We start from the raw sequence: 24,110 nt of genomic DNA, 5'->3' as shown, positions 1-24,110 counted from the left end.
GAATTGATTCAATCAACTTATATATCCATATTTAATCAATTGGGCTTAGCTCTATGCAGTGCCACTGTAGCCTGTTGTCTAACAAGATATGTTATGAACAATGAACTCATTTTTTGGCTGATGTCTTTATTCCCACTGATTTTTTTTTTTTAGAATTTTCCTAAGGATAGCTGGGAGTGAGGCCTAAGTATGATCCATCCCTGTCTGATGTTGTCTGATAGAGAAACAGAAAAGCTTGCATCTTAATATCCAGCAGGTTCTTGAACAATTAAAAGCATCTCATGTTTGTAACTTTTTTAAAAAACCATCAACCTATTTACTGTGACAGAAATTAGGAAATAGGATCTTGGTGGCAGCAAGATTTCTATAGGTAAACAATGCAGTATTCAAACTGCAGCGAGCTTAGATTGGAGCCCTAGAGCTCCCAGAGACAGAAGACGAGATGGCAGTATTTTAAGGCACTAGCAGATCACGGCACTGCAAATCCTTTTTGTCTTGGCAAGGCACAAGGAGACCTGCTTATGCAGCTTTCAAAGGTATGTGTCAGTCAGCTAAAATGTAATCAACTCAGGTACGCTTTTATTTAACATAATGCATGTCATGAGTTACTATGCAATGTTTTGAATTATTTTCACTGAAACAAATTAGAAGGGGATGTGAAATTCGGGAGGGTCTCTTTTGTAGAGCTTCTGACCAGTATCTTAGAGGAGCCTTTTAGTTCCACTTAATGGCCTTTCAAGAAACCAAACCAGAGCTCTCTGTTTTATTATCTTTCCCCTTAGAGGAACATTTCTCCAAATCCCTTTGGTAATAATGGTTCTGAAGGTGGTTCCTTTCCTGACCAAAGCACAGACAACAGCCCTCAACTCCTGGGCTTCCTGCTGAGGTCAAGATCAAGATGTAATTATTTAAAATTGGCCAGACAATGTATTTTGGTTTGGATAACACCTGCCATTTTCTCCATAATTTGTAAGAGAAATCTTTTTACCATGAATGTTTTCTGTTATCTGCATAGCAAATAGTTTGGTGGTTTTCCAAAGGATTAACAAATTTGAAATTCTTTTGATTGTTTTAAGAGCCTGCTCAATATTAAGATGCAAGGCTGACAGTTCCTCTGTCAGACCTAGGTCTGGGTGTCTGTTACTTATTTGCAGTGAGGGAAAAGGTAGGTGGAGCCTTGCCTGTCGATGTGCAATGTGATATTTCTAGCTCCTCTTGTTTATTTCGGCAGAACCAGCATCTTTTTGGGTGTTCCAGATTGTACTATTTTAAACATTCTCCCAAACATTCACCATCTTTGCCTTACTTACCGAGCAACTGGACCTTTTGTAGTTAACCTCCCACACATGACCTATACACAGGTGCAAGAAGGTAGAAAGATGTTGGAATTGCCGAATTCTAAACTGCTCACAGGGAATCACAGTTAAAGTTCAACATGGCAGAGGTCTGTTTTGAAATGATACACCTCCAGGCACTGTTTCCAGCTCTCATTATTTGCCTGCACCAGCTGGTACACATTTCCTTCACAGTCTTTTCTAGGGTACCTAGAAAGGTTGGCTCTGAGAGAGTGACTTGGTGGAATGCAGCGTCTGTTAGGCAAACGCTCAGCACATGGCGTTTAAATTTGCTATTTTTCCTGATGAACATACTGAGATTCCTTTCTTAGAAATGTGTAGCAAAAAAGGTGCAACTGAAACCTGGGACTTTGGGCTTAGCGAGATCGTGGAACTCGGCTTTCTAGCCTTTCTGTTTACAGCAGAAATTTGAAACAAAACAGTTTTCCCACCCTGGTAGGCAGTCTTTGTTGCCAGAAGAAGAGCATCATGTCTTTTTGATGTATTTGCCCTAAACCAAAATGCAAATTCTTGAAGAAGTAAAATGCAGAAAAACCTAACCCACCTCTACTGATCATGGTAATTTCCTAGACAGGAGTTCTGCTTCCCTCGGGGATCCCTTGGTAGTTACAGGGAAGGCTACTAGGGGCCAGACTGAATTCCAGAGTCCTGATAGCAATGCTTGTCTTCTCTTATTTTGTTCCTTTTTGTTCTCCCCTTGGACTGGATGCTCATGGTGCTCATGTTGTTATGGGGTATTGATGAACCCAGGTGCTGCAGGAAGCCCAGCTGTTGGTGGATGTGAACGGAGATGAGGAAATTCCAAGTGGTAACTACTTCTTGTTGAAAGTCCCAGAACAGTCTAAGTAGATGGGTCCTTGCAGGCACTTCCTGATTTATCTAAAGAGCCTAATTGTGAGTTTTGTTGTTGATCAGTTTAAAGCTCATGATTAAGACTTTCTCAAATTAAATTTTTTTTAATGAGTTGGATACAGCTCCAATTGATTCAATGGAAAATAAACAATAGTTTCTAGTACTTTCTTCCCTATTATCTACTGACTTTAAAGCTGAGAGATTTAATTTCAGTGCAGCGGACGTAGCTGGCTGGCAGGGTATAGCATGTATACCGGTCCCACTGTTAGGTTCTTATATGATTTTTATATCACCTTTATTTCTGTGAGTTATGTGCAGATTTGCCCTCTCCAAGAAATTCAGGCATATAGAGAATGTAAATTGTACAGAAATCTGGAAAAATGAAAAACAAAGGAAAATCAAAAGGCCTGGTGTTTTTCTGTACTTTGGAGAAGGATTTGTGTGGAATCTGTGCTGGAGAAGGAAGACAGAGGAAGGAAAGAAGGGGGACTGGAGTTTTGTTATTTATTTATTTATTAACAAGATACAGGGTCTCTCTGTGTTGCCCCAAGCTGGTCTCAAACTCCTGGGCTCAAGTGATCCTCCTGCCTCGGCCTCCCAAAATTCTGAGCTTACAGGCATGAGCCACTGCACCTGCCTGGGACTAGAGTTCTGGGAAGAGCACTGGGACCGGAGTCAGGACACGGCTGTCGTGGACTTGCTGCGCACTCCTGGGGTCATGACAGTTTCCTCATCTGTAAAATATGGTTCATCTCTGTGTTGCCCTGTGAACCTCACATATTGTTGGTGAGATCGAATGGATGATGTGTGTAAAATACAGAATGAAGGGCCAGTTCAGCTTAAAAGATTCCCTAGGAGCTGCTAGTTCCATCTCAAAGACATCTCATTAAGCTGCTGCTTCTTCTTCTTTTTTTTTTTTTTCTTTTTGAGACAGAGTTTCTCTCTGTTACCCAGGCTGGAGTGCAGTGGTGCAATATTGGCTCACTGCAACCTCAATCTCCTGGGTTCAAACAATTCTCCTGCCTCAGCCTCCCGAGTCGCTGGGATTACAGGTGCACACCACCAAGCCTGGCTAATTTTTTTATTTTTTAGTAGAGATCGGGTTTCGCTATGTTCGCCAGGCTGGTCTTGAATTCCTGACCTCAAGTGGTCCGCCCACCTTGGCGTCCCAAAGTGCTGGGATTACATGTGCAAGCCACTGTGCCTGGCCAGGAACCTCAATTATCTTTGACCAGTTTAAATGTCCAAGTGGGAGAGACCCTCTCACAGTGAATGAAAACCCACAACCCAGGAACGAGGTGTCCACCAGAAAGAGTTGTAGGTCATTAAATTGCCTCTCTGACACTGATCATGGGTTTCGATCAGATTGAGGTGTGTTTGGGGAGCTTGCTTCAACTTTTTGCATCTTCCCTCCTCAGGAAGTGCTAAGCACTGTGATTCGGGACCTTTTGGGAGAGTGAGAGGATTTGCTGTTAGAGCAAAGAGGGGTGATGGTGACCCTTACCATCGTCCACCATCTAATGGGACAGTGCATGAGCCAGAACCTAGCTGGCCCCCTTGGGATAGATTGCTGGTTCCTGAACCAGCAGCTGTGACCATGGATTTGGGCTTATATCTGGAGGCGACTGCTGGTACTCATAGAGAATTTGGAAGGCAGTGGGTGAATGAGTCCTGTTTGATCAGGACACTACAGCCTCTGATCAGAACACACCGTTCTTTGCCAGCCCAGATAAAGAAGCTGTTAAATAATTCATGAGGCTTACCGTCAGCATTAACAATGGGAATGCTCCAATATGAAGTTCAAAGAGTGGTGGCTGCTCCTGGCAAGGTGATGGCAGGAAGTCTGATGGCCTTTGTTGCCAGTGAATAATGATCATTCATGCAGGGGGTGTGTACAGTTAGAGTTGGGTACTTGGACAGATATGCCAAGTGTCAGGGAAAAGCTCAGGAATCCTGAAACAAGAGGGATGGCAGCAGGGCTGGGAGGAACAGGAGGAAGAGGCTGAATCAATTCTTATGAGATGTAGTGACCAGGAAGAGGTGTCTACATGTCAGATGACATGTTCTCTCCTTGCCCTGCCTGGCAGAAGGTAAAAATTCAGATGACACACTGGCCATCAATGGGCAAGGGCCCAATTTCTTTATGGGGTGGGCAGCAGGTAAGCATTCTACCAGAGATGAGCTGCTTTGTCAATAATGTTGCACTGATTCTGAATGTGGGGTGGGCAGAGCACTTTCTTTCTAGGCTGGAATAGATCTTCTTGGCAAGAGCAAAATGGTTATTATTATTACTGATATGGTTTGGCTGTGTCCCACCCAAATCTCATCTTGAATTGTAGTTCCCATAATCCCCATGTGTTGTGGGAGGGACCTGGTGGGAGGTAATTGAATCATGGGGGCGTTTACCCCTATGCTACTGTTCTCATGATAGTGAGTGAGTTCTCGTGAGATCTGATGGCTTTGTGAGGGGCTTTCCACCCTTTTACTCATTCTTTTTTCTGCCACTATGTGAAGAAGGATGTGTTTGCTTCCCCTTCTGCCATGATTATAAGTTTCCTGAGGCCTTCCCAGTCCTGTGGAACTGTGAGTCAATTAAACCTCTTTCCTTTATAAATTACCCAGTCTCACATATGTCTTTATTAGTAGCATGAGAATAGACTAATACAATCATTATTATCATTATTATTTTGAGAGACAGGGAGAAACTATTGTTTTACCAACAAGGAATCCTGAATATTTCAGTATGTAATGTTAACAACATCTTGAGCAAGATAGAAAAATCCTCAGAACAAAATGCTTGCTGATTGGCTCTGAGTCCCCCCATTCTGGTATTCTAATTTCCTTTCCTTCTCTTTGCTATCAGAGAATCCCCAGAACATCATGGTGCAATTTTTGCATCCTTCTTTTGCAATCTAGCAAGATTAGGGTATTTCTGTGGCTTGCCAACCACCAAGGAGACATGACCATGTGTTTGGATTATATAATACTGAGAGATTATTATTATTTTGGGGATAATATTTTTTAATGAAGTCAATTTTATGGCCATAAATGCTGAAGTAGTGTTGTTCCCTATTGAGGGAAAACAAAAAATTATCATCCCTGTTTCTGAAACATAGGTGTGCCAGGACAGTTCATTGAGATATTAATGAATAAACATGTGGTCTTCTTCTATTCCCTATTTTCCTCTCTGATCTGATTAGGGAGGCAGCCGAAATTGCTGGAAGATGGCAGCTCTTCCTTTCTTCTGTGAAAGGTGAAACTCTTAGAAAGAGATATCTCCAAGTGTTCCTGATGGATGGAAATAAGAGCCTTTGAGATGCAGAGGGGAGTAAGAGGAGGGAGATTCCAGGAACCTGGAAAGCGGTTACCATGGAAACAATGTACTAGGGATGTGGTGGTACCATGGAGGAGATGGCACCATAGTAATTCCACTGAGGATGGATCTAGGAATATGGACTCCCAGCCTTGCCACAGAGCATGGGACCCTAAAGGTATCAGAACCACTGGACCTGAGATGCCAGCTGGGAAAATGGGCATCTTAGCTGTAATCATTGAGGACTAGAGGATAAGACCCCCAGGGGCCTCCTTGATGCTTAGATGCTTCAGAGACCGTAGGACCTTGGCATAACCTTGGCCAAGGTACAGGGCATGTATATGCATCAGTAATAACTGAGATCAAATTTCCTTCCAGCCCGGTGGTATGGGGGACCAGAGCCAGATTTATATGGCAAAAATGAGAACTGTTGTATTTCTTGCACACCTGAGTTTATCTGCTAAGTAGTCATGGATAGGCTTATGGTTCACCTAATCTAACTTCCTTATTTCACAAATGAAGACAGACAAACCCAGGACTGTGTAACTTTTGCAGGTTTTTCAACTTCTCCAGGTCTTTTATTCAGGCTCTGTAAAATGAAGTGAGTTGGCTAATAGTATTCCTAAGAGAATCTTTGAGAAATTGCTGCCAGGCATTGGTGGCTTACTCCTGTAATTCCAGCACTTTGGGAGTCTGAGGTGGTTGGATAACTTGAAGTCAGGAGTTTGAGACCAGACTGTCCAACATGGCGAAACCCATCTCTACTAAAAATACAAAAATTAGCTGGGTGTGGTGGCAGGTGCCTGTAATCCCAGTTACTTGGGAGGCTGAGGCAGGAGAATTGCTTGAACCCTGAAGCAGAGGTTGCAATGAGCTGAGATCGTGCCACTGCGCTCCAGCATGGATGACAGAGTGAGACTCCATCTCAAAAAAAAAAAAAAAAAAAAAAAAAAAAAAAAAAAAAAAAAGGGAAATTCCTGAAGGAATTAAGATTTTTGCTGCTTTTAAATGCCTTGAACTTCCCTGAATACCACAAGGCCTTTTCATATGCTGCTTTTTCTTGGACCTCCCACCCCACAAACCCAGTTCATCCTTTAGGACTCAGCCAAATGTCATCTTCCCTGGGAAGCCTTCCCTGATACCCTGTGTTCCCTCAAGACTGGCATCCTGGGTTTATCCCATGTGTTAGTTTTACACTGATGCTGTAGCAAATTGCCATAAACTTAGTGGCTTGAAACTTAGTGGGTCTCAGTGGGCTAAAAATCACAGTGTCAATAGGGCTGTGTTCCTTCTGGAAGCTCTAGGGGAGAACCTCTTATCTTTTCCAGCTTCTAGAGGTTACTTGCATTCCTTGGCTTGTGGCCCCTGCCTCCATCTTCAAAGCCAGCATCTTCAAATTTTCCCTCTGATTGTGAACTCCTCTGTTCCCTTCTTCCACGTCTAAGGACCCTGTGATTACTTTGGGCCTATGTGTATGATCCATGGTAATTGGGTTAGTAACTTTAATCCCAGCTGCAACTTTCCTTCTCCTTTGGGCATTCATGAGTTGCAGGGATAAGGATATGGCCATCTTTGGGGCCATTGCTCTTCCTCTGACCCTATTGGTGCACTTGTCACACTGTGTGGTAAGTGCCTCTCACCCTGGCTGTCCCCACCTCTACACTCCAAGAGCTCAGGGGCTGTTTTTTTTTTTCCTGCTGCCTCCTCAGAAATGTGTACAGATGTGTCAAACTAGAAGCTCTAAGATGATGGTGTGATCTGTATTGTATAATAAATAGATTTAAATTAGTTACTAACATTTAAAAATTGGGATACTTTGCTTATATATTTTTAAGTGGAAGAATAAACAAAAAAATCTAATAAAGTTACCCATGAAGGGCAAGGGAAAAACAGATGGAAAGGATGGAAATTAGTCTTTTCTGAATGTACCTTTTTGGTATATTTGACTTTGAAACCATGTACATGTTTTACATCATTATAAAACAAAGTTAAGTTAAAATGAGACAAAATGAAAACGGATCCCTTATTCAATGAAAATAAAAAGTTCCCATTTTTAAATGAAAATTATGGAACTGGACACAGGACACAAGGGATCTTGCTCCGCTTGGCCCTGTACCCCCGACACATTAACTGCTTGGGACCTATGGGCATTTGCACTAGGATCTGGGCTTGTAATAGGAACCCAGTGAATGTATGTGTTGAATAACTTGATGGTGAACTTAAAGTATAGATGATAGGTGGGTTAAATTGGGAGAGGGTTGAGAACAGAAGATGAGCTTGGGGAGAGGGATTAGTATTAGATTGGCAGAGAACATCTGGCCAGGTGGCATCAGAGTACCATGTCAGGAGATGTGCTGTTTTAGCTGGGATCTTGAAAGCAGGGCCCAAGAAGAAGCCTTATGTGCAGGTGATTTATTTGGGAGGTGATTCCAGGAAGCAAGAGTGAGGGAGTGGGGATACTGAGGCAGGGAAAGAGTAGAACTGAGGCAGGGAAGGAGTAAGGATGCTGTTATGGACTAGATGTTTGTGTCCCCAGCAAACTGATATGTTGAGTCATAACTCCTCAATGTGGAGCCTCTAAGGAAGTAATTAAGGTTAAATGAGGTCCTGAGGGTGGGGCCCTGCCCGATGGAATTAATGTCCGCATAAGAAGAGACACCAGAGAGCTTGTCCTCTTTCTCTTCTCCAGTGCGCATGCACTGAGGCAAGGCTATGTGAGGACAGAGTGAGAAGGCAGCTGTCTGCAAGACAACCGAGGGCCCTGGCCAGGCCCCCATCCTACTGGCTCCTTGACCCTGGACTCCTAGTCTCCAGAACTGTGAGAAAGTAAATTTCTGCTGTTTGAGCCACCCAGTCTGTCATATTTTGTTATGGCAGCCTGAGCCGACTAAGACGGATGCATGGTTGAGGTCACTGCTGTGGGCCATGGCAGTTCAACCCAGCTGACTTCTGAGGAGGCTTCAGAATTGTCAGCCCTGAGGCCAGGAGGCCAGGGCAGCGTTTGCCATCAGTTTCTCTCCCCTGTTGGTTGAGTGTGGGCCCTGAGAGTGTTCATTCTCCTGCACTTGTGAACTGTGCATGTGCACAGGCCTAGGCATCTCTCAGTAGCCTCTGTGGTCTTGGGGACGCCCCTGGGGAGAACCGAGGCTGCGAGGTACATGTAAGATATTATCATCTTGAAGTGAGCTGAAACCTCCACACAATGGTCCACCCAGACATGGCTGAAATTAGGGGTGAGGCTGAGAGCATGTGAGTCATGGTAGCAGATGTGTCTGCTTGTGGATACCTGCTCCAGGTGGGGAGTCAGAATTCAGGAGGCCGGGCTAGGAAGTTGGAAGTGAACAAGCCAGATGCTTGGTGGGACGTTAAGGCCAGGTCAAATGGCCAGAGTTCTAGGGAGTGTCAGTGGAGTTAACAGCCACACAGGCTCTTAAGTGATGGACAAATGGAATCTATTGATTCTCTACAAGACTCAATTTCAGTTTTTCCTCTTCCTGCCTCTTGCATGATGTCACACAGCCTTTTACTGTTGTTACTTACATGAGTAAGATCAACTTCCAGGAGTTTTAATTTTTCTCTCTGTTTACTCTATTGGGTGGGTCCAATTAATGAACAATAAAATAACTTGATGAACAGGTGGCAGAAAGGTAGCTGAGTATAACAAAATGTCTAGAATAATAAACATGTATTAAGCAAATGAGTAATTAATTCATAAGTAGAAAATGGTGCTTGGCCAACTGACTACCTTCTTATTTTAGGTCTTCAGTTTTGTTTCTTTAATTTTTTTTCTGCACCAAGTCCCTTTTTTCATTTAGTGTCTGTTTTTTGGCTGATGGAATTTCTGTATTTGATAAAAATGACCATTATGCCTGTATCTTGATTTGGATATTTTCTGATGACTTGCATTTTGCTGGCTTTTGAGTTTGTAGATGTACTCTTCTTGTTTTCTGAATCTCCTTGCTTTTCATTTCTGTGGATGTACACCTCTGCAGGGCATCCTTAGGACCAGTCCGCCTGTCACAGGCTTTGTAGCTGATGATGTGGAAGGAAGCTCATTTAGTGGAGGTTTTCTCTTCGGCTTTATGGTAGGTGTAATTAGACATGCAATACCCAGTACCATTGCAAGGGTCTTGAGCTGAGTAAATTTCTTGTCCCACTGATTTTAATCCTCATCGGCCTTATTGATACCAGATTTCAGATTGTTTTGTCTCATCCCTCTCAGTCATGGTATGTGATCCAACAGATATGCCTGTCAATGGACTCTTTGGCCAGATCCTGGGGTTACAGTACCTTTACTTAATGCTTGTAGAAATCTCTGTTCTTTGGCTTCAGTGGTTACTGACCTTGTGTCCAGCTATAGCTTTGTGTCCAGCAAATGCATGTTAGAATGAAGGTGAGCGAAGCCCCTGTCCATTTTCATTCTTGGAAAAGCCACTTATCATCTATTAATCAGTAGTTCCAGTGGTGTCTTTCATCTGGGAAGGACCTTAAAAATCCACTTCAATCTTTTCATTTTAATAGACAAGGAGCCAGTGGCCAAGGGGCTCAAGCAACTTGACAGGATTCACTTGAGCCAAGCCCTGTTTCAGAATCTAGGTGACCCAGCTCCTGTTTTTTTTTTTTTTTTTTTTTTGAGAGGTAATATGCTCATTTTATTTTTTTCATGGTTACTTATTTTATTTACTTTTTCAGCTTTATTGAGGTATACTTGAGGAATAACAATTATATATGTTTGAAGTGTACAATGTGATGTTTTGATATATGTATACATGGTGAAGTGATTACCACAATAAAGATAACATACTCATCATCTCACATAGTTACAATTTTTTGTGGTGAGAACACTCAAGATCAGGTCTTAGGAAATTTCAAGAATACAGTTAGCCCTCCATACCCATGGGTTCTGCATCTGTGGAGCCAACCAACCACGGATAAAAAATACTCAGAAAAAAATTGCCTTTGTGGTGAACAGTACAGACTTTTTTCCTTGTCATTATTTCCTAAACAATGCTGTATAACAACTATTTACATAGCATTTACATTATATTAAGCACTATAAGGAATCTAGAGATGTTTTAAAGTCTGTGTGAGGATGTCCACAAATTATATGAAAATACTATGCCATCCTATGTCAGGTACATGAACAGTCATGGATCTTGGTATCCACAGGATCCACCCCCACTGTTGATGTGAAGGACAGGACAATCATGGGGTCAATGAGGGTGTGTGTGACATTGAGAAGAACCACTTTCTTTTACCCTTAATTTGCCCTTCATCTTCCTTTCTTCATCTTTTTCACCAGTTAAGTCCAGGAATGCTATACAGCCTAAATCAGCCACTCATCTATAGTGTTGATATTTCTGAGTAGTTGAACTTCAGACCAGTGCTGGATGGTTCTCTCTGTATGTGAGAACACGTCCTGAGTTTTTATAAAGTGTGTATGCGTGTCAACAATCTGAATTAGTTTATATAAGAGGTTGGGCAATATTGTAAGTAGATATTTGTCTTTATTGCCCAGATGAAGCTAATAAACCTCTTTATGGTATAGTGTCATGCCTTGAGTTTTATAGCACCTTCCTTTTAACAAACTCGGTGTTTCATTCTTTAAGCTTATTATATCTCTTAGTTTGCGTTGTTTTTATTAATTTTTTTTTGAGACAGGATCTTACTGTGATGCCCAGGCTGGAGTGTGGTGGCATGATCACAGCCCACTGCAGCCTCGACCTTCTGGGTCCAAGCAATCCTCCCACCTCAGCCTCTCGAGTAGCTGGGACTACAGGTATATGCCACCATGCCCAGCTAATTTTTGTATTTTTTGTAGAGACAGGGTCTTGCCATTTTGCCCAGGTTGGTCTCAAACTTCTGAGCTCAGGCTATCTGCCCACCTTGGCCTCCCAAAGTGCTGGGATTACAGGTGTGAGCCACTGTGCCCGGCCTGTATTGTTTTAAGTTACACTTATTCCTTTTAAAATTCAGAATTTGTTAAGCATTTAAAACAAATTCATAAATTAAAACCTCCTTGAGATACCATTTACCATGTAGTTTGATGAACATAATACATGGTGCATTACATTGGCAAAAGCAGTGGGGAAAAAGATGCTTTTATAAATGTCTGGTGGGAGTTAAATTGTGTAACTTCTATTACACTTTTGTAATAGCTACCAAAATATGTTATTTCTATCTACCTCTCTCTCTCTGACTCAACAGTTCCATTTCTAGGTTTTGTGTTGTGGATATTCTTGAACATTGTGAAATGTATACAGGGAGGCTTCACAGCAGCACTGTTTGTTTCAAATGATTTGAAAACAACCTCTCCATAAACGAAATAGGCTAAATCAAGCATGGCACACCTATACAATGGATGCGGCCATTAAAAAGAACAAGGCAGCTCATATGCATCAATATAAAAAGGTCTATAAACTATACTATCAAATGAAAATAGCAAGATGCTACCATTTATATTAAAAAGAGGACAAAATATTAATATATTCATGGTTGCTTGTCTATGTGGAATATTTCTGGATATATACATAAGAAGTTACATTGGTTACCTATGGGCAGGTTACTACTGGGTGGCTTGTGGGTGAGGGCAGGAGGAGGCTTACTTTCCATGGTAAACCTTTTTGTATATTTTGCAGCATTCAAAAATTCTAATTTAAAGTTTATTTTAGAAAAATGCCCCCATGTATACAAGTGATTTCCAAGTTCCTCCTTCAATATTTTTAATGATTATGGAACACACTGAACTTCTTTTTTATTATTCTAGCTGTGAACTCTATCTGCTGTCTACATGCACATATATAATCTATGCAATATTTAAATTTATATCCTTTATATGTCAGTTGGGTGGTGAGTAAAAGAAAAATATATTTTTATCAGCAAACTTGGTAAATTGTTGAGGTTTCTGATATAGTCAGAGGTAGTTGCTTATCACAACATTAGGTAAGTTTTTAAAAACACCTATTTAAAACACACTGATGTATATATATATTAGTCTGTTTTCATGCTGCTGATAAAGACATATCCAAGACTGGGAAGAAAAAGAGGTTTAATTGGGCTTATAGTTCCACATGGCTGGGGAGGCCTCAGAATCATTGCGGGAGGCAAAAGGCACTTCTTACATGGCAGTGGCAAGAGAAAAAATGAGGAAGAAGCAAAAGTGGCAACCCCTGATAAGCCCATCAGAGCACGTGAGACTTAATTCACTATCATGAGAATGGCACGGGAAAGACCAGCCCCCATGATTCAATTACCTCCCCCTGGGTACCTCCCACAACATGTGGGAATTCTGGGAGATACAATTCAAGTTGAGATTTGGGAGGGGACACAGCCAAACCATATCAATATACAATTTAAAAACATGTCAAGCCACATATTGCTTAGGGATATGTGGCTATGTAGTAAAAGTATAAAGAAGTGCACAGACCTAATACACATTAATTCAGTGGGGTCAAGGTGGGAAGAAATAGGATATGGAATTCAAGAGGGATGGGTACATGATTGTTTGTTACATTTTTCTTTATATCTTCTTGCATATTTCAAACATTGCATAATTAAAAAGTAAGTGTTACTAACTTGTCAGATATAGGCAGAGTTCTTTTAACAAACTCGGTATTTCTTTCTTTAGGCTTCTTATATCTCTTAGCTTGTATTGTTTTTATTAATTTTTTTTTGAGACAGGATCTTACTGTGATGCCTAAGCCTGAGTATGGTGGCATGATAAAAAGATGCAGAAACAATATAGGCATCAATGATCTGTATTTTCCTTGTTCTCTGTCACATTACACTAGTACCTAAAACAGAGCCTGACAGAGGGTGGGCCTTAAAAAATGTTTGCAAAGATGAATAGACAGGCATAAAAGCCCTGCAAGCTACTGAAGTGGTGGCTGGTGGGTTGTGTGATGTTCCAGTGTGCCATCTTGTATAATGGGACCCCAGGAGAAGAAGGGGACATACCTGATGATGTCTACAACCTTTCTGGTGGGTAAGAAAAAAGAACTTGGGAATTTCTCAACAACCAGAAATAAACATGAAATATAGAGATGTGATTGGGTCTATAATAAAATTCAGATGCTACCTGTACTCCAGAATACATCGTTTGCAAAAGGCCTTTTCATGGCTCTCAGTAAGGCTGGTATTTTGTCTTCATACGTCACACTCAATGGCCCCCTTTGTGAATATATTTGGTTAAGATGGCAAATGTGGGTGTAACTCTTGATTCCCCTTAGCATTGCTGTTGCTGCCTTTCATGTATCTGTGCCCAGCCAAGAGCCAGGTTGTATGGGAGTGATTGGAATGACTGGCATTTACTGCTGCCCACTGGCAGTGGTAGAATAAATCACCTTTGTTTCTTAGGATAGCCATCAGCCATTTGGTTTCTATATTTGTTTAATATTTAGACATAGAATGAAAGGAGTGTGGGAAAATAATTAACATTGTAATCCTACAATAGCTACAAAAGATGTACTAATATGTAATGACAATAAATGAATAACATGCTATTATTGTTAGTTACCCCACCATATTTAGCAAGCTAGAGCAGTGCTGTTGAATAAAATTATAACATAAGCCACATACATAATTTAATATTTTCTTGTAGCTACATTAAGACATTAAAAGAGCTGGGCGCGGTGGCTCACACCTGTAATCCCAGCACTTTAGTAGGCCGAGGCAGATGGATCACGAGGTCAGGAGATCGAGACCATCCTGGCTAACACGGCAAAACCCCGTCTCTACTAAAAATACAAAAAATTAGCCAGGCGTGGTGGCAGACGCCTGTAGTCCCAGCTACTTGGGAGGCTGAGGCAAGAGAATGGCGTGAACCTGGGAGGCAGAGCTTGCAGTGAGCCAAGATCATGCCACTGCACTCTAGCCTGTGTGACAAAGTGAGACTCCATCTCAAAAAAAAAAAAAAAAAAAAAATTAAAACAAACAGGAAACAGGTGGAAATTAATTTGAATTAACCCAATCTAAAAAATTTTCATTTTAATACATAACCAATGTTAAAAAATTATGAATGAGATTTTATATTCTTTTTATCTGGACTAAGTCTTTGAAATTCTGTGCATACTTTATATCTTCAGTAGGATGCTAAATTTTCATTAGAAATACTTTATCTGTATCTAGATTTTACAAAATTTACAGTTGAAAAAGTAGGTTAACATATCCCGTATCCAAACTATTCCATCATATGTGATAGTGGCTACCCTATTGGACAGGGCAGAGTTAGAACTTATCCATAAATTTCTATGTTAGATTTTTTTTAATGATTCTGAGCATCTGTTTGTCAGTATGCTTTTGAGGAGATATAATAAAGCGTAGACATAGTCTTGCACTTGAGAACCTTATAAACTAATATAACAAATGTATATCTTGCACTGTGTGAAGTTAGTTTTTTGAATGAGTGTTTCAGCCCTTTTGATGGACTTAATTTTGAGAACTCAAATTAAGATCTGAGATTTAAGGTAATAAAATTTTAGGCCAGGTGCAGTGGCTTACGCCTGTAATCCCAGCACTTTGGGAGGTTGAGGCAGGCAGATCACTTGAGGCCAGGAGTTTGAGACCAGCCTGACCAACATGGCGAAACCCCGTGTCTACTAAACAATACAAAAATTTACCAGGTGTGGTGGTGCATGACTGTAATCCCAGCTACTCAAGAGGCTGAGGCAAGAGAATCGCTTGAACCTGAGAGGCGGAGGCTGCAGTGAGCCGAGATTGCACCACTGCACTCCAGCCTGGGTGACAGGGCGAGACTCTGTCTCAAAAAAAAAAAAAAAAAAAAAAAAGGCAATAAAAATTTGGATAATTCTTTCACAAGTATTCTTAAGCTCTGGTTAAAAGATCTAAGAAGTAGGCCGGGCGTGGTGGCTCACGCCTGTAATCCTAGCACTTTGGGAGGCCGAGACGGGCGGATCATGAGGTCAGGAGATGGAGACCATCCTGGCTAACACGGTGAAACCCCGTCTCTACTAAAAATACAAAAAAATTAGCTGGGTGCGGTGGTGGGCGCCTGTAGTCCCAGCTGCTTGGGAGGCTGAGGCAGGAGAATGGCGTGAACCCGGGAGGCGGTGCTTGCAGTGAGCCGAGATCGCACCACTGCACTCCAGCCTGGGCGACGGAGCGAGACTCCGTCTCAAAAAAAACAACAACAACAAAAAAAACAACTCAAGCATTAGTTCATACGGGGATGAGTAATTTAATTACTGAACATAAACCAGGAGGATTTGAAATTAGACCAACTAATTTTTTTTCTTTTTTACGTCAGGTGATGCTGTGCCTACGTTGTAACAAGGTTTGAGGGAGGCACACCTCACACATGGGCTTGAGCACCCAATCACCATGCTTGTGAACTACAAAGAGATCGGGCCAACTCATTCTGAGTATAGATTTGGTTCCAGATTTTGACAGCTCCCATATCACACAGGAGGATATCAATAGTGTGTACATACGGAGCGTCTACCGCATCAAAGATTGAGTTAGCTAGAAGAGAACTGTTGGGGGAAGGCCACAGTTATTTGTTCCCCCATCAGCATGGCTGCTGGAAAGTTCTAAGAGCCCAGAAAAGGGGGCAAGGATTGATAGCCTGCCAGTCTCCCTCTGTTGACATCTTGTTAAGAGGAATCAAGTCCTGGGACTTGGGGTTTATATAGGAAATGGAATTAGTTCTTCCTCTTAAACTCACAAACCACCAAGTATCTACTGGGGATCCTTGACAGTTATGAATAATTTACAAATGTCTATTATGAACTATTAAATTATTAAATAGTTATTAGTTATAATAGTTATAAATTGTTAAATTGTTAGATTATTAATAGTTGTTAATAATTCATAAGCAGTTTTATCTATTAAGGTGAGAGGCAGAGAAGCGACCAAGTTCTGATTTGAGTGCTCTTGGCTGGGACTGGTCCTCTGGCCAGCTCATTTTGGGTGAGTGAGGGGATAACACTCTTCTCACCTCTCCCCTGACAGCTCCCACTTCACTTTCTTGCCTGGTCATACCTTCAGCCTGATGTCACAGCACATCCTGTAACAAGCTAGCCACGGGTATTCTGTGAAAAATTCATGCCAGCATCCCTGTCAGGCTATTTGGCCCCAGGCTAAACTGCAGTGTGGCAGTGTCACCTGAACAGTGTTTTGCAGACAATCGCCTGGGTAGGTAATCATTGCTGCCCATTAAAATAAAGACGGAATGGGAGGGACTAGTCAGTACTTCCGTGTGTGTGTGTGTGTGTGTGTGTGTGTGTGATGTATGTATTTGTGTGCTTGTGTGTGTGTGTGTGTGGAGTGGGGCAGTTTAACATTTCTATCTATTGCTCTTCTTCTTTTTTTAAATTTACCTGCTCCCAGCACTGATATCTATTGCTCTGAAAAGAAATTAAAAGCTACCTTTTCTAATAAGTACATGTGTAGTATGGAAAATACAATCTAACCTCGCTTAATCCCGCACCTCAGCATAATCACTGAAGTAGCATATTTCCCTTCAGTGTTTAAAAACTCTTTATGAAAAACTCTTTATGAAAAATTCCACTGACTTGGCTAAAAAAAGGTGTATTTTGTTTTTGTCATAAAAACAAATTGCTCGTGATTTAGGGAACTCGTGTTCGTTGCTCTCGGGTTGAAGGTAATTTTGCAGTGGATTGCTGATGCCTCAGAGCACCTATACATACTTCACATTTGGGGACTTATTAAACGGACATTCATTAAAGCCTCATTTCCTACATTTTATCCATTCAGAAAGCTCACCCTTCCTCCAATTTGGAATAGTGTGTTTCTCACACTGCTCCGACTTTGAGTTACTCCGTGAGTGCAGGCCCTCGGTGTCCCCGCTGCTACTCTGGCACTTGGCTTGCAGCACGGTATTTTTCTAGAGAGTTTAATGGTTTTGTTTTCCCTGCCCAGCCTTTGTGGTTGCCCATCAATACCTGGTGCGAGTGGCATGGAGACTCCAGCCCTGCCATCTTCCTGGAGTCAGAGCCTTCCCTTTCCAGGGAGCTGAGGGTCTTTGTTCCAGGCTGCCACGTGGGGACTCTGCTATTCCAAAGAGGAGGAGGAAGAAGGCTGATAATATGCATTTTGCCTTTCACTGCCTTTTGGGCAACAGTCTTGGAATGAAAACACTAAAAACAGATGTAAAAACTGAGGGTGGGAGATATACCTAATGCTAGATGACACATTAGTGGGTGCAGCACACCAGCATGGCACATGTATACATATGTAACTAACCTGCACAATGTGCACATGTACCCTAAAACTTAGAGTATAATAAAAAAAAAAAAAAAAAAAAAAACTGAGGGTGACAGTTGGGATCTCATTAACTTAGTGGCTGTCACAATATATCCAGGAAAGAGGCTTGTGTGCATGCGGCTGTGTCTGAGAAGCTGGAACTGCATGTGTGTGTGTGTGTCTGTGTGTGTGTGTGTGTGCGCGCACGGGTGCACACACACACATGCCTGTGCTCCTGGAGGTGGGGCAGGCATTCCAGGCTTTGCCGTCTAATTTTCTTGCTTAAGCTTTAAAAAACTGTCAGTTGGGTGGCGCAGGCTTGGTTATTTTTCTTTATGGGTGCTTCTGTAAATATCTTTAAATTTCAGCTTAGGCTTTTTAGAGGGGCATTCAATGTGAAGAATAAACAGATTATGGCTTTGCCTTTTTAAAAAAAAAGTTATTGAGGCATGAAATGCACCCAGTTAAGTGCTTCAAGTGCACTCTCTTAATCGAACAGCTGGATCAACATGAGAGTATTTCCATACATTACAGGGTACAGTGCCTCAATTTGATCATTTTGAAAATACATGAGTTTCCAATCTTAACATACTGCCCTTCCTTACCCTCAGTCCAACTTTCAATTCCTGAATCTTCATAGGAGCTTCTGAGATCAAGTCCATCACTTGGTTATAATGTCCAATCAACAAACATGAGTCTAGAGCTGAGATACCTCTGCATCTGTTTTCACCTCTGGCAAAGCTGAGCTTGGCAAACTGTGCAATGCCACAGACATCAGAAGGGCCTGAGCAGGGGTGCATCTGTGGCCTGAAGGTTCTCAGAGTGGGAGCCAGAGGCCTGGGTTCTGGACCCAGCTCTGTCACTAGCCTGCAGAAACCTCACTGTGATTTCTGAAGTCCTGTCCTCCAATTTGATGGCATTATGATTCTGGTGAAAATATGGCTCTTCATGTAAATACAATAAACCCCATGACCTCAGAGTTCAACCAGGAAGCTTATGTGATCCCAGGACCAGACCAGATGTCCTTCTTCTAAAAGATATTTTACAGCTGTTCACTGGCCTCATTCTGTCTTCCCGGAGGCAGTGGGCAGGCCTCTCAGCAGACCAGATGGAAGCTCGTAGAGCTGTTCGTGAGTTCTGTGTTAGGTTTTCAAAATTGTAAAATGTGGATAATAACATTACTTTCTCCATGGGCTGTTGGTGCGACATACCGGAGTCCAGACTGGTGGGGCAATCATTTTGATTTGGTGGTCCTCTCTTGCCTTCCTTTGTTGTTAAATATTTTGAATATCATCCCTGGCCCCTGAGAGCCTCCAGTGAGACCCCTAGGACATCCCCTCCGTGAATGCTGTTTTGCTTCCTGATCTCCTTGCCCTCTGCAATGGCTCAGCAAGCTGTCCACTCTCAAACACAGCATGTTTCATACAGATAAGACCCCCAAGGCCCATTTTGCTACATCACAGAGAGCTGAGCAAGGCCACAGGCTGAAGGAGGCCTGGGAATTTGCAATGAGGTTGCTGTCTAGGTATGCTCTGACTTGACTTCTTCCAACCGTAACAATAAAGCTGAAAAGCATTCGAAGAGGTAACTGTTGGTCACTGCTCTCCCCACTGCTGCCAAGGTAACGTGAAATTTGTGGAGGCTAGAGGCTTTGAAGGTTTGGCTAGCTTAAATCATCTTAGCGAAAGCAGAGTGGAAGCTTGAAAATCAGATCTGCTTTCAAGCATTTTTTTTTCCCGCTCTGTGGTCTTAGGGAGGGGAATGGAGAGTGGCTCAGAGGCCTTGATTTTCCTGAGTAATTGTTTCTCTTCTGAGATACAGTGGAGCTTTGGAAACCGAGCTGGTGCTGACTTGCTACCTGTATTGGCCACCCCTGGAAGACTGCAAATGCACCTCTATTTTCCCTCCCTACCTTGCCAAGGCTACCACTTGCCCGGTGCCACCTGAGGCCTTACCGCTGCTCTGCTGGGTTAGGCTCTGCTGCCACGGAACTATATTCAACCTCAGCAGTGGGGTAGTCCTCATGGAATCATAGCTGTATGATGCCATGATAGGGTTGGGATGGGCCATATGTGCTGTTGCTCTTCACCTCTATTTAGATAGGGCCAGGAGTGAGACAATAGGGAGCGGTGGGGACTGTGGCAGAGGTGGGTATGCCCCTCATCAAATATTATAATATTTTGAAGTAGGTAATATACTGTTTCTTAGAGAAGTGTATTTAAGAATGCCTATAGGAAGATTAGAAAGGCATGAAGGATGCAGCAGGGGAAGTAATGTTGAAATTGGACTCTCATACACTGAAGCACCAACTTTAGGTACTCAAACTAACAAAGAAAAGAAGAGAAGCAAAACAGATCTACATCTGGCATTTTATTTAGTTTGGGGCATGGAGCACTTGTGACTTCCAGTAGAGTCTTAAGAGAAAAAGACACATTTATGGAGCACCTGTTATGTGCCAGATAATGCATTGGCATTTTAATAAATAATATCTCATTTAATTCTCACAGCAATCCTGTGAACTGGGTCTCTTACTCTTATTTTTTAAATTAAGAAACTTGGGCACAATGAGGACAAATATTTTATTTGAGGTGACTCGGCCAGAACATGGTGGTGTTAGGATTTGACATCCTGACTTCTGTCTTTTAGTTCAGGAGCTCCTACCCTGTGCTGGAAAATCTATTGCTGGATTTTCTGGCCTCTGTGCCCTCTCTGGTCTCCTCCATTGCCGATGGTAACAAGTGCCCTCCCTGGGCCTGTCTGCCTGCTCTGGGCTGACCCTTGACCTCCTGTGCTTCAGGCTGTCATCGGTGGCCGGGTCGCTGCCAATTCTGACTGCAGGTCCCCTCACTGCCCCCATGACAGAACTCACCTGAGCCATCACAGTGCCTCGGGCCTACGGCTGGCCCGCATCCAGCCTGGCTCCTCTGAAAGGTCTGATTGCCTATTGTGTCTCATCGAGGTTTGGATTTATCTCTGGTTGGTGCTGGCTAGGGCCCCTGTCCCCAACAGGGCCACACTGGATGGGAGGGCAGTTTCCCTGCTGTCATTGCAGGAGCTCCTCAAACATGGGGACTTAGAAACCCTGATCTGGCCGGGCGCGGTGGCTCACGCCTGTAATCCCAGCACTTTGGGAGGCCGAGGTGGGCAGATCACAAGGTCAGGAGTGTGAGACCAGCCTAGCCAACATGATGAAACCCTGTCTCTACTAAAAATACAAAAAATTAGCTGTGCGTGGTGGCGCATGCCTGTAATCCCAGCTACTCGGGAGGCTGAGGCAGGAGAATCGCTTGAACCAGGGAGGCAGAGCTTGCAGTGAGCCGAGATGGCGCCACTGCAGCCCAGCCTGGGTGACAAGGCAAGACTCTGTCTCAAACAAAACAAAACAAAACAAAACAAAACAAAACAAAACAAAACAAAACAAAAACCCTGATCTGCTGTCTGTGAGGAGGAGGGCTTTGAGGTTGATGAGTGGTGTGGGAGGAAGGTGTAATTTGTTGTTGAGAGTTGCATTTTCTTCTCATTTCACATATACTCGATTATAAATAAATTAGAACATTTAGAATCCGTAAATTTAGCACCCCATACTCAAGTGCCCCAGAAACACTTTCATATATGCAGAGTAAAGGAAGAACAATTGGTGTAAAGTACAAGAAAAAGACTTTCCTACTTGGCAAATCTTTTCTTTTCTACTTGGCAAATCTCATCTTTTCTTCCGTGTGGACGTCGCAGCAGACAGAGGTTTCCTTTTTTTTTTTTTTTTTTTTTGAGACCGAGTCTTGCTCTGTCGCCCAGGCTGGAGTGCAGTGGCGCGATCTCGGCTCACTGCAAGCTCTGCCTCCCCGTTTCACGCCATTCTCCTGCCTCAGCCTCCCGAGTAGCTGGGACTACAGGCGCCCGCCACCGCGCCCGGCTAATTTTTTGTATTTTTAGTAGAGACGGGGTTTCACCGTGTTAGCCAGGATGGTCTTGATTTCCTGACCTTGTGATCCGCCCGCCTCGGCCTCCGAAAGTGCTGGGATTACATGCGTGAGCCACCGCGCCCGGCCAACAGAGGTTTTCATTTTCGAGTGTCAGTTATAGTTTTGTTTGGAGACCTGTTAGGGTTACCCAAAGGCAGACTGTGTGGTATGAAGGCCGCTGGGCTCTGGCAGAAGGGCTGCTGGAATCAGATCTCACACACTTCATCTCCCGGCAAGCTCGAGGCCGGGGGCTGGCCCGGCTGTTCTTTCTTGCTGTTGTGCTGCATACACACGATATGGATACGGCTCAGATTGGCCCTAGTGACCATGTTCTAATGGAAGGGATCTGTGTTTTTGTCTTCCCTCTGCCACTGAATAGTTGTGTACTCTTGGGACAAGTGACTAACCTCTCTGAGCCACAGTTCTCATATTTATGGAGTAAGGAGAATAACAGAAACATACAGGGTCATTCTGAAGATTAAATGAGATAATATCTGAAGAGAGCTCCTTGTGAACTCTGAAATGCTGTGAAGTGCTGGCTACTATACACAGCAAACCCTCACCACAGACTCTTAGGCTTTGGTTTGGGTGTTTATTCCAAATTGTGAAGTAGGTAGAGTGAATTCTGTTCTCACCCCTTTTCTTATATCAAGTAGCCTTTTCACTTACAAGCTTGCTTGTCTCAGAAAAGCAATTCCTCAAAGTGCAAACATTCCTAATCCTCAAACATTCCTTAAATCTTTCATCAAACTCAATTGTCCTTTCTCTTAGTGTCTATTTTCCTAAATCCACACCTGTGCTTAGCTATGTATGATTAAACAAGATCATAATAAACTTATTTGCAAGGATAAATAAGGAGGCATCCTTCCTAAGTATATTTGCTTTACTCCTAAGAATAGGAGAAAGCCAGTTTTGCTAGATGAATGAATTTAAAATGTGAGCTGTCATGCAGCTGAGACTAGAGTGTGGTGGGAAAAAGAGAGGCCCCTTCCGGTGCCCTTTGGAGCATATCTTCTGGATGGCATGCCTCTGGTGTGGCTGCTGTCAGCCAGCAGTATCTTATCTATCTGTCTATCTATCTATCTATCTATCTATCTATCTATCTATCTATTTATTTTTGAGATAGGGTCTAGCTCTGTCACCCAGGCTGGAGTGCAGTGGTGTGATCTCGGCTCACTGCAACCTCCGCCTCCTGGGTTCAAGCACCTGCCACCACACCCAGCTAATTTTTGTATTTTTAGTAGAGACGGGGTTTCACCATGTTGGCTAGGCTAGTCTTGAACTCCTGACTTCAAGTGATCTGACCTCTTTGGCCTCCCAAAGCATTGGGATTACAGGCGTGAGCCACTGTGCTCAGCCTTATTAATTTATATCTAATAGATTTTACACAGGATTTGAGTTGGCTAATAGGTGGTGCCGAGTAAAGTCTTAAGAAATAGTATAAAGTAAGAATAAGGGTAAATATAAAGTAAATGAAATGTTGAGACTACGGGAAAGAGCCAACCACAGGTATTGAGGCTGTATGACTTGGCATAGTTGTTGCAGGATCATGCATTTGGCTTTGAACTTCCTGGAAGCAACTTGAAAAGGGAAATGTAATTTATCCATGAGAGAGAAAATCCATCAGTTCCCGTGGAAGACAAGGATTTCTCAGTCTTAACTCCAACTTGGGGCTGCACAAGAAAATAGGTGATGGAAACAACAGCACCCTCAAGAGCATCTTACAGCAAAGGCAGAAGCAAATTTTTAGCCTGTTGTTGCTTTTCAGGTTCTTGCTTAAAGCTGAGGGCATAGGACCTCTAGAACCTGATGTTAGTGGTAGCCTGGTAGGTGATCACTTTGGGTCAATGTGATTCAAGTACACAGCATTCTGTGGCCATTTTCGTCCTGTTTTGGGACAGGGAGAACTAACTTCACTTCTGCAGAGCCAAAGGAAACATGAAATTTGAAGGAAACTCCGAAGATAGCACACATGCTTTCTATTTTGCCTGGAAAGATTTGAAGAGGAGGAGACTTAGCTTATTCCTGGCATGAATTTTCCAAGGCAATCTGGGCAGCCCCGACTGTCTGAGATAATCACCAGCCATTACTAGGGATGTGGGAACCAAGCCAGACCTAAGCTTGGTTTTATGTGTAAAAATGGCCACTTTGGGAAAGGGCGGGGTCAGGGAGGTCATTGGCTGGTCAGGAGGAGCTTGGCTGGGCCTGGCTCTGAGCCCAGGTCTAGCCCGCATCTCCCATGTGAACAGGTCTAATGGCCCTGCTTCTGGGTCTCCCTGTCTTGTGCTGGAGTCATGCTTGTCATCACAGGCCCACTGTGGCTACAGTTGCCTGTTCACAATGTTGAAGGAACATCACCAGCACTAAGTGTGAAGTAGATGTTTTTTCTGTGCATTAATTGTAACATTT

At 42.9% G+C, this 24,110-nt stretch overlaps 1 protein-coding gene and 1 non-coding gene across 8 annotated transcripts in view; one reads left to right on the top strand and one right to left on the bottom strand.

Annotated features, from left to right (window-relative positions):
- The window catches only part of FRMD3 (FERM domain containing 3), a 342,803-nt gene that overhangs the window by 117,641 nt on the left and 201,052 nt on the right, over nt 1-24,110 (top strand). Inside the window, exon 1 of one of the 7 annotated variants that reach the window (NM_001244960.2) lies at nt 412-536. The exons of the other annotated variants lie outside the window; for them this stretch is intronic. Coding sequence (NP_001231889.1) covers nt 522-536 — 15 coding nt within the window. The 5' untranslated portion in view covers nt 412-521. Of the gene's footprint in view, nt 1-411; nt 537-24,110 lie in introns of those variants that run through there. 7 annotated transcript variants of the gene reach the window in all.
- On the bottom strand, nt 15,779-15,881 carry LOC124902346 (small nucleolar RNA U13). Its single transcript, XR_007061922.1, has one exon. It is a non-coding gene; the product is annotated as a small nucleolar RNA U13 (small nucleolar RNA).

The sequence above is a fragment of the Homo sapiens genome, chromosome 9, assembly GCF_000001405.40.
Source record: "Homo sapiens chromosome 9, GRCh38.p14 Primary Assembly".
In the NCBI taxonomy this organism is placed as follows: Eukaryota; Metazoa; Chordata; class Mammalia; order Primates; family Hominidae; genus Homo; species Homo sapiens.
This window is presented reverse-complemented; position numbering and strand designations above follow the sequence as displayed.